Source organism: Homo sapiens, chromosome 16 (genome assembly GCF_000001405.40).
Source record: "Homo sapiens chromosome 16, GRCh38.p14 Primary Assembly".
NCBI classification, from domain to species: Eukaryota; Metazoa; Chordata; class Mammalia; order Primates; family Hominidae; genus Homo; species Homo sapiens.
Window position 1 is genome coordinate 83,993,483 of NC_000016.10, and position 15,106 is coordinate 84,008,588.

Genomic DNA, 15,106 nt, shown 5'->3' on the forward strand with positions numbered 1-15,106 from the left:
TGTGTGTCTTCTGGGGGAGTGTCTGTGTTTCTGTATGTCTGCCAGGAGCTTTTCAGCATCCTTTTGCATGGGAGGATTTGGTCATTCATTGAGCATTTTTGAGTCCCTACTATGTGCTGGACACAGTGCAAGGTGAGCTGTGTGTGTGTGTGTGTGTGTGTGTGTGTGTGTGTGTGTGTGTGTGTGTCTGCCTCTGCCTGTGGCTAGCTGTGCCTGTCAGGGCACGCAGGGGTGTGTATGCACATGAGTATGCACAGGAGAGGGGTGTCCAGGGCCGGGAGATGGGGCCAGGCCCAGGTCAGGATCACAGTTTCTGTCCTGTTACATCCCGACTGTCAGTGTCTCTTTAGGTCTCGCTTTTATGTGTATGTGTTGGAGGGGGGTCTTGAAACCAGGTCCCCCACCCCAGAGGGCACCAAACATTAAATGGGCCTATCATGAGGGAGGGAGGGGGACTTGGTCACTCCACAGCTTGGGCTCTACACGTGCCCGAAAGCTTCGAGCTGTTAGAGTGGGGGTGGGTCCCTGGCTCAGCCTCACTCTGGAACTGAATCTCTTGGGGAAAAGGCCTAGGCCGTGGGGTCCTAGAATGGAGCTGAATTCGAATCCCAGCTCTGCCCAGCTAGCTGCGTGGCCCTGGCTGAGTCACCTGCTTTAAGAACCTCATTTCCTCCTCTGTCAAAACAAAGGCCATGATGCAAGTTCTGTGCATGTGTGAGTCCACTGTCTTGCGTAATAAATGCCTGTGGAAGATGCTGGAAGTGGTAAGGGCCCTGAAGCCACCGCCATGGTCTGTGTGTGTTCCCATCCAAACTGCAGACAGAACCACATCAAACCCAGCCACAGCGCGGCACAGACCTGGTGTGGAAGCCCCACTCCCGCCTCTGCCCCCAACCACAAGCTCATGGCTATGGAACAAGGCAAGACCCTTCCATCTGGTGAGAGAAAGCGGGGGCCCTGGTGGGGGTACCAGCTGGGGGTCCCGAGGAGTTCTGAGAGTCCTCTGACAGGGACTGGGGAGATGAGCAAGTTTGATGCCCCTGGAGGGGCTGGATGTTTCCAGCTTCCCCCCGAAGCCCTCGTCCTGCCCACCACTGAAGTCTGTGTGTCTCTTTCTCTACCGCAGCCACGGAGGATGCAAAGGAAGAGGGTCTGGAAGCCCAGATCAGCCGCTTGGCAGAGCTGATTGGGAGGCTGGAGAGCAAAGTAAGCCCTGGCCTGACCACGGCGTCTACTCCTTCCAACCCCTGAGGGAGTGCAGAGTTAAGCCTGGAGTTCAGGACAAAAGTCTGGGCTGCAGAGGGGCCAGGGAACCATGAAAAAGACATCCCCCAGGTGGGGCGTGGAGCTGCCGAGGACGAAGCTAAGGATCAAACCCCGGGGGATGCTCGTGTTGTTCAGGCCCAAGGAGGGGCGCCTGGGAAGAGAGAGTGTTGGGGGGTCAGGCGGGCCTGCAGGCAGCAGGAGCAGCTCCAGGAGCAGAGGGTGGTCAGCAGGGTCCCGTGTTGCAAGGCCCTAGCTTCAAGGAGACTTTGCTCTGAAGTGGCTGGAGCAGATATTGGCCGAAAGGCAGCACCAGGATGAAAGAGAGACGTGATGATTCGAGAGAGTTTCAAAACAAGGAAGGAAGTGACCAGCAGTAGCAAATGTATTAAGTGTGATATGGGACGTCCACAGGTGATAGAAAATGGCACAGCCCTTACAGAAAACATTTTCAGATAATGTTTCGTGACTCGGGATAGAGTGCTCACAATATGACCATTTGGTGGAAAGAAAAGTTTGTCTTAGGGCCTACAGACAGATGGGCTCAGGTATCAGTCAGAATTCTGGTTGTGCCACTTCATAGCTGTGTGACCCTGGGCCAGGGACTTGTCCTCTCTGAGGCTTAGATTCCTCCTCTGATAATCAAGAAAATAACCTGGAGCATGGGACCCCTCCCTCATAGGGGTGTCGTTAGGATGAACCAAAATGATGTCTCCGGTTTAGCACAGGGCCCGGTGCTGTAGCTTGCATTTAATATTAGCAATGTTAGCAATTATTATGAGGCATTCTGTTACCCAAACCTATCCACATGCACACAGCACACCCGTATACCCACATAAGCCAAGGTAACTGAGCTCTCAGAACCCTGGGATTGAGGTGGTTTTATGTTTCTCCTACTTTTGTGTATTTTTTTTACACCCTTTGTAAAGGGTATTGCTACTTTTAGTTTGGGGGTTCTCAGGCATTCATGGGGGCAGGAACAAGGGGCTCCCCGCATGGAGGGAGACAGAGGCTGACGTGGAATGAAGTCCGAGGGAGGAAGCTCAAACTTCCCCTCCTGCAGGGATGAGGCTGAGGTGGAGTTACCCCCTTCCTGAAGCCAGCTGCGGGAGCGGCTCGGAGGGGACCCCGTGGCCCGGTTGTCATAACAACTCAGCGGGCGCCTCGGGAGGGAGACTCTGAAGCTTATTTTTAGAGCACCGTCGCCCTAACAACCAGGCTGGCTGGTAACCACGGAGTACCTGGGCGTCCTGGAGACGGGGTGGGACCAGGTCCTCCTCCCCAGCCTCTAACTGGCCCGGGCGGTCAGCAGGGGCCAATCCGGGCCTGGCTTCAGGCCCCGCCCTTCACCGGCCAACCGGAGCTGCCTCTGGGCTGGAAGGATGGAGGCTCTAGGGGCCCCTGGCTGGGAGAAGAATGGGGCAGATACAGGGGCCACAGTGCCTCTCCTCATCCTCCTATGGCTTTTCCAGCCCCAGGACCCCTCACGTATGCTTGTAAAACCATGGAAACAGACTTGTTCCTGCCAGGCACACCTTCACCACTTACCAAGGCGTGTTCATGCTGTGTGCCCCCAGAAGGCAGTACCCTTGCCAGGATCAGCTACTACAGAGCCCAGTGCAAAATGAGCGTGCAAGGTCCCTTGCTCAAACATTTAGAACGTCACGGTGGTGACTACACAGACTCATCCACCTGCTGCTGTTTTCCTTATTAGCTGGCGTGCTTTACCTGTGGCTGCCCTGTGTGACTCCCGTAGATGGTCTGTCCTCATGGAGGATGGACAGAGATAGCCACAGAGGTGGTTAGTGGGGTGCCCAAGCTGAAGGAAGCAGCAGCATGAGCCTGTGCGTCAGGTAGACACACTGGGTTCAGACCCACGCTCTGACACTTACATGGCTTTCGTGCCTTCAGAGCCGGGGTTCTCTGCCGTGACATAGTGACTGTTGATCTTCTGTGGGGGCTCAGCCCTGTGTGGGCACCAGTCGTGGGCGAACAGAGCAGATGTGGTTCCTGGAGACCGAAACTTACAGTGGGGCAGCACCTTCCCTGGGGAGTCTGGAAGATTGTGTATTTGTAAACCATCTAGCTTAGAGTCTGGGGAAGACCAGAGAGAACAGTTCACCCCATTAGATCCCTGAGGTGCTGGGGGTTATGATTTGGGGTGAATTATAAGTTACAGGGAATCTAAGGGCTGTTGCTCATCATAGTGGCAAACCCCAGCATCTTGGACTCAGGCCTCTGGAGTCCCCCTTGCTGCCTCTCCCAAGCCATCCTCACCCCAGCAACATGTTCTAGGCCCCCTGTAGGCCAGAGGGAGTCTCTGCCACTTCCTAGCGTTGGTCTCCCAGCCCTGTGCAACAGGGCCGGGTCCTTGGGAGCTCCCAACAGCCCCAGGGATCCCAGAGCTCCTGGCTCCCCGGGGCGGAGTGGGGCTCTGGGTCTAGCATCACTGTGTGCTGGATTGTTTCAGGCACTGTGGTTCGACCTGCAGCAGCGCCTGTCAGATGAAGATGGCACCAACATGGTGAGGCCCCTTCCCACCTCTCTTCTGGGACCACATCCCTACCCATGCCAGGACTGCCAAGATCCAAGTGGCTCAATGCCCCTGACCCCGCTCTCCCTGCTTGGGACCACCAGGAGGGGAGATGTCGCCCAGCGCTTGGCACCCAGACCCTGCCCTGGCACAGGAGCCACCCCACCAACTCCGGGGGTATTTCTTGAGGCTCCCTGGACCTTTTTTTTTTTTTTTTTTTTTTTTTTGAGATGGAGTCTTGCTGTATCTCCCAGGCTGGAGTGCAGTGGTGGGATGTCGGCTTACTGCAACCTCTGCCTCCTGGGTTCAAGCAATTCTCCTGCCTCAGCCTCCTGAGTAGCTGGGATTACAGGTGTGTGCCACCACGCCTGGCTAATTTTTTTGGTATTTTTAGTAGAGACGGACAGGGTTTCACCATGTTGGTCAGGCTGGTCTCAAACTCCTATCCTCATGATCTGCCCACCTTGGCCTCCTAAAGTGCTGAGATTACAGGCGTGAGCCACCACACCTGGCCCAGAGGCTCCTGGACTTTGATCCAAAAAAGGTTTGGCATAGAGCAAAGTGATCAGCCAGACAGTGATGTGAAAATGCTGAGTCCATCAACTATGAGTTTTTCTTGTCAGTGGATGTGCTGTGTCTCCAGGCCCTGGAGGCTGTGCAGGTGGTTGTGGACATGGATGGGGCCTCTGTAAACAACCTCGTCTGTTTTCCCCATTTTTGGGGGCTACTTCTGCACTGGGCTCTTGAGGTTCTAGTCCTTTCTTAGCCCATTTTTAGTCCATTCTTATCCATTCATGGGTAAGAATGAAAAGTGGGGGAGGGTTATTTTATTTTGACCGAGGAAGGGAGGTCATGGGGGCCTGATGGGGTGTTTAGGGAGAAGGCCTGACGTGGAGCCCCACACTGACTCCTGCTGTGCCCGGCAGCACCTGCAGCTGGTCCGGCAGGAGATGGCCGTGTGCCCCGAGCAACTGAGCGAGTTTCTGGACTCTCTGCGCCAGTATCTGCGGGGGACCACTGGCGTGAGGAACTGCTTCCAGTGAGTGAGCTGCCGAGGCGTGGGTGGGATGGTGGCAGGGAGCTCTGCCTGGCAGTGGAGGAACAGGGCAGGACTAGGCTTTGCCCTAAGTAGTACAAGTTGCACCCCAGGGACACACACAGCTGGATGCGTAAGAAGTGGGTTCAGGTCTCTACTGAGGTTCCTCCCAGCCAAGCAAATGTGGCAGGTGTCTTCATCTCCCTGGCATCAGCTTACTCATCTGTAAAGGGGGGACCACCCCCAGGACTCCTTGCTGGGGTGATCATGAGTGCATATACAATCAAGTGTGTGAATCTCAAGTGTGAAGGGCTCCAGCTGGGCCTGGTGTGCCCCGTGCGCTCAGTCAGCCTCAGCTGCTGCTGTCACAGGGGTTCCTGCACACTTAAGTCCAGGCCCAGAATGTAGTATTTGCTCAGTTAACCACTGAGGAAGGAGAGGAGAGTCGGTAGCTGAAGGGAAATGCCCAAGTCATGTAGTTGCCCTTCTCCCCCTGATGTGCTGAGATGTCCAGGGCGGGGCAAGCGGCCTTACCTTCAAATTCCTGTTCATCCCACCAGGCTGATGTAGCTCCTTGGTAAAGCTAAGGCATGTGGCCAGGGCCAGAGTGGAGGGGGTTGCAGAAGACAACAGCCCTTTGTTCTTGCTGGTAGTGGTCCCCCGCCCCCCGTTTCTGCAGCAAGGCTCTGCCCAACTCCCTTCCCAGGGCTTTCTTCCATCCCCAGAGCACACACTCATTCACCCCATTGCCTGGGGACATGGCTGTGAACCAGGCAGGCCAGGTCCTAGCACAGGGTCTTTGAGAGGGGTCTTCTTGGGCCCCCTGTGCACTGAGGCTTGAGTGACAACAGCCTGACCTGTAGCACGAGGGGAGGAGTAGCCTGGGCAGGAGTGCGGCCGTTCCCGAGACTCGGCGTGGCCACGAGGGGCCATTCTTGAGTAAGTAGCCAGGATGGGGGGGCAGGACCCACTCCACTCCAGGAGGACAGACTGCACAGGAGCAGGGGCCAGACTTGATCTTTTTCCATTACGTGAATAAGTGGGAGGCTCCAGGGTGAAGTAGGGCCACCCCGATGCGCTGTGGAGAGGAGGCACGGTGGACGTAGAGGCTCTGGTTTGTCGAGTTGGAGACGGCAAGCCTGGAGAGCCAGGTGAGATTCTACTTCCCAGGCATGGTGCACCTAAAGCTGCACGGAGGTGTGTCCACCCCAAGATGGAATCCAGCCCGGCCCCTTCCTCTAGGCTGAGCACTGTAGCCCCTCCTCCCCAGCTTTTGGCCCCCGCTTTATGGTCACTTGGGGCTTCCTCATTGTAGTGCACTTGCAGAGAGGATTCTGGGGCGGCATAGACTATCAGCACCTTTAAAATGACGTGAGTGCGGGCCCCTGGGTCCCATAGAGCAATGGGGGACTTGCCTGCAGCCCCTTCCTCTGTGGCCCAGCACCCCCTCCCCTCAGCCTCCTTTGGTCAGGTCAGGTACAGTGCAGTGGGGGTGTTGCAAGGATTAAATGAGAGGACAAGTAGAAGGAAGAAGAGGGAAGATGCTTTGATTTTTAAAGGTTTTTTGATTTTTAAAGGTTTTTTGAGACCAAATCTTGCTTTATTGTCCAGGCAGGAGTGAGTGTGTAGTAGTGGAAGCTCAGCTCACTGCAACCTCTCACCAGAGGGTTTAAATGAGTCTCATGCCTCAGTGTCCTGCATCGCTGGGATTACAGGGATGTGCCACCAGGCCCAGCAAGTTTTATTTTTTTTTTTTTTAAAGAGACAGTGTTTTGCCATGTTGGCTAGGCTGGTCTTGAACTCCTGACCTCACGTAATCCACCTGCCTCGACCCCTCAAGACTTCCCAAAGTTCTGCGATTACAGGCGTGAACCATCACATCCAGCCACCTGGTTTTGTTTAAATAAATGTTCACACTTTAACATGACATTTCAGCTGGGCACAGTGGCTGAAGTTTGCAATCCTGGCACTTTGGGAAGCCAAGGTGAGAAGACAGCCTGAGCCCAGGAGTTAAAGACCAGCATGGGGAACATAGCAAGACCCCATCTCTATTGGGACAGTTTTTGAATTAGGCCGAGTGGTGCACTCCTCTAGTCCCCGCTACTTGGAAGGCTGAAGTGATTGTGCCACTGCACTCCAGCCTGGGCAACAGAGTGAGACCCTATCTCAAAAGAAAAACTACACTGCATTGATTCTATTTAATAAATAGCTGTTGGCCACTATAAGAAGCCAGGCCTTATTCCCTGTGCTGGGGTCACCCTGTCGAGTCTCGATGGAGGTCAAGACAGGAAGAAACATTGAAGGCAGCCGTTGTGTATAGTGGTGGGTCTCAGGCCACCCCAGGGGAACAGCACTGAGGTGGCCTTGGTTGAGCTCCAGCCTCCTCCCCCCGACCATCTCCTGTTGCAGCATCACTGCCGTGAGGCTCTCAGATGGCTTCACCTTTGTCATCTATGAGTTCTGGGAGACAGAGGAGGCGTGGAAGAGGTGAGATGCTGGGTCCCCACAGCAGGTGAGGGAGACAGAGGGAAGTGGGGGGGCTGTCTTCCTGGAGCCAGGCATCCTTGGAGGGGAGGGTAAGGCCGAGTCCAGTCAGCAGATTCCCGAGGCATCTACCCGCTGGCATGCTTGCGTCAGTAAACCCTGGTGGAGGCAGGAGCTCTTGGTGGGTAGTGAGAGCCCCCACCACACTCAGCTGGGCTTTCCTGCTTTCCCCAGGGTTGCTTCTGTGCCCCTAGAGCACCTTGTCCTCCTGGAACAGCCCTGGGGGCCGAGGCACTGCCTTCTTTACCACCCTGTAGAGTTGAGGGCCTAACCTAGAAGGTGACTCAGTCCCCATGTGATCAATTGTTCCAGCGACTAACCTCCCCTCCAGCTGAGTGCCCGGTACGAGGGACGGAGATGGGGTAGGGTGTCAGCAGCTCTGATGGGCCTTAGGCCTTTGTCCTCTGCTCAGCACACATCTGGGAGAGGGTGGAGACTATTGCTGATGCGCCAGACCCCACAGGCAGGAAGCGGGGCCTAGGGGTAGCCCATGCCCCCATCTCCTGCTTCCCTGGTAAACACTCACGGTTTGCTGACAAACTCAGGACCCCAGTGGGAACAGGGGCGGTCATGAGAAGTGAGAGTGTCCCCTCCCTGTCCGTACTTCAGTGACTCATAAAACGAGGGACTAAAAGCCTTCGCAGCTTCTGTGTTGTCATGGGTCCCAGGCAGAGGATGGCCCCACTCCTCCTGCTAGGGTAAAGGGGGAGGTAGAGGCTCTGTGCAATGAGTGGGGGGATCCCGCTGCCCATTTATAGCTCACAGGGAAAAAGAGAAGCTCACTGCCCACCCCAGAGTCAGCCTCCCTGGGCACCCCCTCACCTTCCCACAAAGGCTCTGAGTCCAAAGACCCCCCGTGCTTATTGATAAGCTCCCCATTTTGGGCTAGAGCTAGGATTAACAGGGGAGCCACACGCGGAGCTCCACTCCTGCCACCCCTGACTCACACATGTCCCTGCGTCACAGGCACCTGCAGAGCCCCCTGTGTAAGGCGTTCCGGCACGTCAAGGTGGACACACTGAGCCAGCCTGAGGCCCTCTCCAGGATCTTGGTGCCAGGTAGGGGGCAAAGGCCTGGAACTGCAGTGGCCACCTGACTGGAGAGAAGGGCAAGAGCCTAGAGGCTGCCCCATATCTCCCGGGGACTTGCCTGCTTGCTGTGGGCCCACTGTCAGCTCCTGCCACCAATGCCAGGCTCAGAGCCAGCCCTGAGGTGGCCCCACATACAGGTATGCCTGCCAGAGCTTGCACCAGAGCACCCCCTCCACGGCCCCCTACTTCCAGCCAGACTGAATTTCCCTTCCCAGGTGTGTGGTTTGCACCTGGGTGACCAGCAAGGACCTGTGTGTCACACAAGGACTCAAAGCCATCCCCCGACCTGTCATTCAAGACGACCACCACCAGCTACGAGGCTGCCCACATTCGCACTCCTTCCCTCTAACGTGTCTCTCTCCTTTTAGCTGCTTGGTGCACGGTGGGACGGGACTGACAGCCTCCCAGAGGCCCGTGGAGGAGCCCACCAGCCCCTTCTTCTTGTGAAGGAAATCCCGTTTTTTTCTAGACAGACACTTTGGTGCAGAAGCTTCTTTTCAATCCATCCTCCACAAGAAGGTGTTTCCCTGTTGTTAAGTGAAGGAGGCCGCCCCTGCCCCCACCTGAGAAGGCAGAGCAGTGTCTGTGCTGCCAGGTCCTGGTGAAGCCCAAGGTTGAAGGGGGCGGCTTCCTGGAGCCAGCACCCCTGCCTCCTGGTCCTGGCCTCTCCCCTACCCCTCACATGGCCACGCATGACCCACACTGACCACACCCTGCCCTCTTCGGTGACATTCTTCTACCTAGTAGGAGTCATGCCCCTGTAGTGCCCAACCTAGCCAGGTAGCCACCACTGTGCCCAGGCGCCAAATAAACCCTGGTTGGGAAGAGCTGTGTGCTCTGTGTCTGTTTCCTGGTTGACAACAGCAGGGGGCCAGGGACCCTTCAAGTGCTCCCAGCCTCAGTTTTCTGAACCATGAAATGGTGGTGGTCACTCTATGCGGTATTTGGGAACTAGGCTCATGCCTATTCAGGAGCTCAGCACCACACCTACCCTCAGGTCAGTAATTCAAAGGACTGGGCACAACTGTCAAAGTCACGGTCAAGGTAGGTAGATGACAGACAGACAGACAAAATCCAGCAAAGAAAGAGGCTCCCGGAGTGGGGGGCCAGGCACGGGGCTACCAGTAAAGGCCCATAGCACTGAACCCTCCCAGCTTCAATGCTGATAGAGCATCACCAATCAGGGATGCAGTCCTGAGTCTTACTGGGGTTCGGTGACGCATACACGCTGACACCTCATGGCTCAACACCCCACCATAAATCACATGGTTGGCCCAGACCACGCAGTGTGGCTCAACACAGACACTGTCACCAGGCAGGACGCTCCAGGGACGGGTGAATGCCTCCCGGCACGTCTGTGCATTAGCCATTCAACACAGCAGGAGACCCCGCCTATCAACTGGAAATCATGTCTTAAGTCTTATTCTGGAAGCTTTGTAACTTCTTCCTATTTCTCAGTCCGGGTTAGCAGGAAAGAAGTCACTCACAGCCCAGTGCAGTGGCTCAAGCTGTCATCCCAGCACTTTGGGAGGCCGAGGCTGGTGGAACACCTGAGGTCAAGAGTTTGAATCCATCCTGGCCAACATGGTGAAACCTCGTCTCTACTAAAAATATAAAAATTAGCTGGGTATGATGGTACACGCCTGTAATCCCAGCCACTTGGGAGGCTGAGGCAGGAGAATCGCTTCAACCCAGGAGGTGGAGATTGCAGTGAGCAGAGATCACACAACTGCACCCTGGGCAACAGAGTGAGACTGTCTCAAAAAAAAAATCACAAAAGTTCAAAGGACAAAGAGAATGGTGGGTCCCTCTCCTAAAACAGGGCAGAGCCAAGACCACAGGCCAGGGCACAGGTGGGAGCCCTGAGGGGAAGGGGCAGGACCCAGAATGGGCACCTTTCTACCTCAGGCACAGAGCCTGGAGGGCTGGCCAGTGCCACATGTGGTTATTAACACTCACCACCCAGCAAGGTCCCTGCCCACACTGTCCAGCCCCCTGTGCTTGCCGGGAGCTTTGAAACCCTGCTCCCAGGGCAGGTCCCTGCCCCTTGGGTACTGCCACCTCCTTGCGGGGTGTGATGCCTGCCGCTGCAAAACCAGCAAAACACGACATGAGTTTGTAGGAAAAGAAAAGGGGTTCAAGAACCATCTGTATGTCTCCAAGCTGAATGTCCCTATACCAGCCTCTCAGGGCCTGTTTTCTCACCTGTAATGTGGGGAAAAGACCCCTCCCTTGAAGGATCAGGGGCTTCACTGCCTGGCGCACGAGAATGCCACTTACAGGCTCCTGCTGCCCCACCCACAAGACTGGTACATTCCAACCACCTCAGCTATTCTAAGAACAACATTCTCAGGGGCTAAGGCTTTCTGGGGTACAACTGAGGAACCTCCTTTAGCCGGGCCTGTTCCCCTCCCACATGTCACATCTGCCCAGGCCTCCATGGGGGGTGATATCTCTGCTGATTGCAGCCCACGTGCACTGAAAGCCTTCAGGGGCCCCCTCAGAACCTGAGTGGCCGGGGATGGGCTCTGACAAGAACATGTTTCAACCCTAAAAGCTCTAAGAGCTCCCGCTTAATTCACACTTCAGAGCCTGGCACAGTCAAGCACTTGACAGGCCCATCTCCCTCCATGCTCCCCTATGCTGTCCTGCTCTTGGCAGGTGGGGAGATGGAGACAGAGAGGGCAAGCAACTCACCAGAGGTCACACAGCAAGTAAGTGGCTCAAGTCAGATCCAAACCCAGAGTTCTGTGCCTAACCCCTGCGCCACACAGCATCAACCCGTGAGGAAGAACGGCTTCAGATTAACCCATTAAGATCAGAATCAGGTTCCTCCAAATGCTAATGGCGAAGTACCGTATCCCATAGAAGTACTGTATCCCAGCAATTCCACTTCTAGGGATATACTCTGCCTGAAATGGAAAAGGCATCCATCCACTCACTCACTCGGTGCATGTACTCATGACGGCACTATTCACAACAGCCACAAGGTAGAAACTATCCAAATACTCATCAGCCGATGAAGGCGTAAACAAATGCAGTCTCTCCAAACAGTTTATCATTCAGTCATCAACAGGAGTGAAGGACTGGGCCGTCGGTGACTCGAAAACCCCACACTGAGTGAAGGCAGGCAGACACAACAGACGGCATCTAATATTCCACTTACATGAAACGTCCAGAATAAGCAAATCCACATAGACAGAAAGCACAGAGTGGCTGCCTCGAGGATGGGGAAGAGGAAAAGGGGAGGGACAGCTCATGGGCAGGGGGCTTTCCTCGGGATGGAATGTTCTAGAACTAGAGGGAAGTGATGGTGACGTAGCATTGCAAATGTACTAAAGGCCACTGAATCCTATGCTTTAAGATGGTTAGTTTTACACTATGTGAGTTGCATTTCAATGTTTAAGAATCTCAAATCACTCTCAAAAACAGTTCACCATCTGTACTTAGCCGGTAGAGCTGCATACTCACCAGGCCCGGTTCAAAACCTGCCACTTGTCCCCGGGAGGCATCTGTGGGTGGGCAACTCCTCCTGAGGTGCTTAGGGCCAGCAGTGCCCTGGGCTGGGCCCCTGAGCCAAGGGAAAGAGGTCTCCCCTGCAGCCTACCATGCTCAGAGCAGGAGCACAAGGCATTTGCACTATGAAGCATCACCGGGCCATGCTCAAAGCTGTTACTTCTGACTCTCCACTGACACACAGCTGTCATCCTTGGCCAGGTGCTGCAACAGGACACACTCTGTGTCGAGGGCTTTGGAGGGACCTCAGCTCAGACTCTCAGCCATCCTGGGAGGGAGGGGCTGTCCACAGCTTCATTTTGGAAAAGGACAAAAAGGTCTGAACTGGGAGGCTGGAAAACATCCAGAGGAAGGGTGCTGAGGCAGAGGAGAGCACTGGCAGGGATTTCCTGCAGTCACCACCCTAGGAACAGGCTTTGCTGAGGCCACACAGCTGGTAAGTGGCAGGCAGAGTCAAGTCATCTGCCAGCCCCAGAGCCCATGTGCTGGAAGCCCTACACATTGTCACCTGGCCCCTGAGGACATCTGGCTGGAAGGTGACATCCCAGCTTCTACCACTGTGATTGCATGAGCTGCGTCCTTGCATTATGATAATTTGCAGACAGTCATAGGAGGATCACATCGACCTGTCATAGAATCGAGACAGAAGCCTTTGTCCTGATGAGTGATATTCAGTCACCCCTTAAAGAGCCCCGCTATCACCTCTTAGCATTGAGTGCCAGTGCACTTGCCTCCTGAGGTGCTTTCTTGCTTTGGGATGAGTCCTCACCTCCTCATACTTCCCATTTCCCCTTGGCTCCCAGGAAACTCAGGTACCCCTTGCCAATCACGACCTTGGTCTTCTGGGAATAAAGCTACATTGCTTGGGTCTCCACTGTGCGTGACGTATCCCATCAGCTACTCTGGATCCATCATCGTCTTTAATCCTCACAAGAGACCTGCTTTGTACAGAGTAACCCTGCTCCATTTTGCCGCTAGGGAAACTGATTCTGCAAGAAGGTTCACACACTTCCCAAGGCTTTGAGATAGCAAATGGCAGACCCAGTGTTCAAAACCAACGGTCCAACTCCAAAGCTACTTCACACACAGCCTTCTTTGATGGCATGACCCTCACCCCACCACACTTTGATATCTCAGGACTCTCCATAAATAGTACTAGCACAGCCCCAGCCTTCCTGGCCAGGGTCACAGAGCCCTTTAGGAAGCAGGCAGGTATAAATAAGAAATGAATGACTATTCAGCCTCACCTCTCACTCCAGGGTGATAAATTCTCCATTACAGCAATCTGGGCTCAGTGCAGTGGCTCATGCCTGTAATTACAACACTTTGGGAGGCCGAGGTGGGAGGACTGCTTGAGGCCAGGAGTTCGTGACCAGCCTGGGCAAACAAAGTAAGACCCTGACTCTATAAAAAAAAAAAAAATACACAAAAATTAGCTGGGCATGGTGGTGTATGCCTGTGGTCCCAGCTACTCAGGAGGCTGAGGAAGGAGGATTACTTGAGCCTGGGAGTTGGAGGCTGCAGTGAGCAGTGATAGTGCCACTGCACTGTAGCCTCAGTAACACAGTGAGACCCTCTCCCAAAAAAAAAAAAAAAAAAGAGGCCTGGCATGGTGGCTAACACCTGTAATCCCAGTAATTTGGGAGGCTGAGGCAGGTGGATCACCTGAGGTCAGGAGTTCGAGACCAGCCTGACCAACATGGCAAAACCCCGTCTCTACTAAAAATACAAAAATTAGCCAGGCGTGGTGGCAGGTGTCTGTAATCCCAGGCTGAGTCAGGAGAATTGCTTGAATCCAGGACGGGGAGGTTGCAGTGAGCTGAGATCGCGCCACTGCACTCCAGCCTGGCGACAGAGTGAGACTCCATCAAAAACAAACAACAACAAAAAAAAATAGAGCAATCTGCCCGCACGTGTCCCAATTCCCAAGGCCCTTGCCTGGGAAGATGCTGTGGCCCTTGAACATAGGGTGTGACAGGTCATGGTGGGGTTGGTCAGACATTGAAGAAGGGTCCTGGGTACCCTCCCAATACCCCCACAGGGTCAGAGTCCACACCTGCAGCCACACTTCTCCCATCCCCCAGCAGCCAGGCTACAGGAGCCCCAGGGCCAGGTACCTATTCCCACCCCTGCCCCCCAACTCTGATGTCTCCTCAGCATGGCATGTACAGTGGGAAGGAAAAGAATCTAACCCCAAATGAGTTCTGATCTGATCTCTGTACCTTGCAGGACGCTCAGCCTGGATTTTTCTAAGCCTCAGTTGCCTAACCTGTAAAATGGGCACATCTAGAAACATTATGCTAGGTCCAAGGAGGCAGAGACAAAGGCCCACGTACATGTGAGGCTGTTCAGAGGGCATGCCCGTAGCAGGCAAACCCAGAGACTGAGCGCAGCTGCATGGTTGCTGGGAGCTGAGGGAGGGAGAAATGGGGGGTAACTGCTAATGGGCACTAAGTTTCTTCTGAGCGTGACAAAAACGGACTAGAATTACTGGGGCAGCTGCACAGCTCTGTGAGCACACTAAAAACCACTGGATTGTACACTGTAAAGAAGTGAATCATTACGGTATACACCTTTTATCTCAATTTTGAAAATTCATGCATGTGGACAAGCTGAAATAAATATGGACCTGTCACCGCCAGCCTTGCACGGTCACGTGCATTGTACCATGTGACAGCAGGAAAGGCCTGGCCTACTGCCTGCCCTGAAGAAGGCATCCTCAAATGTCAGTCCCACCCTCCCCTGACTCTGGCACTGCTGGCTTCTAGGAGGATGTCCCAAGGCAGAGAAGCGTGGCCTGAACTGAATCTAGCAACCGGGGCCTCTGCAGGGTCAATGCCAGGGAGGACGCAAAGGAGCAGCTGGGTCCGTGTCTGCCTCTCCACATCCTACCCTCCTTCTTTTTTTTTTTTTTTTTTTTTTTGTTATTGTTGTTGAGATGGAATACTGCTCTGTCACCCAGGCTGGAGGGCAGTGGCACAATCTTGGCTTGCTGCAACCTCCACTTCTCAGGTTCAAACGATTCTCCTGCCTCAACCTCCCGAGTAGCTGGGATTACAAGCGCCCCCAACTATGCCCGGCTAATTTTTTTGTACTTTCAGTAGAGACGGGGTTTCACCACGT

At 54.6% G+C, this 15,106-nt stretch overlaps 1 protein-coding gene across 4 annotated transcripts in view, besides 2 other annotated features; it reads left to right on the forward strand.

The window, feature by feature from the left end:
- Window positions 1-9,294, forward strand: part of NECAB2 (N-terminal EF-hand calcium binding protein 2) — a 37,600-nt gene extending 28,306 nt beyond the window's left edge. For 3 of the 4 annotated variants that reach the window (XM_047434240.1, NM_019065.3, NM_001329749.2), the window contains 7 exons: window positions 820-938; window positions 1,127-1,206; window positions 3,734-3,787; window positions 4,723-4,835; window positions 7,242-7,319; window positions 8,343-8,434; window positions 8,836-9,294. In XM_047434240.1, coding sequence (XP_047290196.1) covers window positions 820-938; window positions 1,127-1,206; window positions 3,734-3,787; window positions 4,723-4,835; window positions 7,242-7,319; window positions 8,343-8,434; window positions 8,836-8,864 — 565 coding nt within the window. In that variant the 3' untranslated portion in view covers window positions 8,865-9,294. The remainder of the gene's footprint in view (window positions 1-819; window positions 939-1,126; window positions 1,207-3,733; window positions 3,788-4,722; window positions 4,836-7,241; window positions 7,320-8,342; window positions 8,435-8,835) is intronic. The other variant, NM_001329748.1, reaches the window with a different exon arrangement.
- Window positions 2,504-2,563: a silencer, noted in NCBI's record as "silent region_7773". NCBI's record gives its function as "represses an Ori minimal core promoter by ATAC-STARR-seq in GM12878 lymphoblastoid cells {active_cell/tissue: GM12878}" and the evidence as "EXISTENCE:reporter gene assay evidence [ECO:0000049][PMID:35858748]".
- Window positions 8,842-9,624: an enhancer, noted in NCBI's record as "H3K27ac-H3K4me1 hESC enhancer chr16:84035929-84036711 (GRCh37/hg19 assembly coordinates)". NCBI's record gives its function as "activates a minimal SCP1, AML or CMV promoter by ChIP-STARR-seq in primed H9 embryonic stem cells {active_cell/tissue: H9 hESC(primed)}" and the evidence as "EXISTENCE:reporter gene assay evidence [ECO:0000049][PMID:30033119]".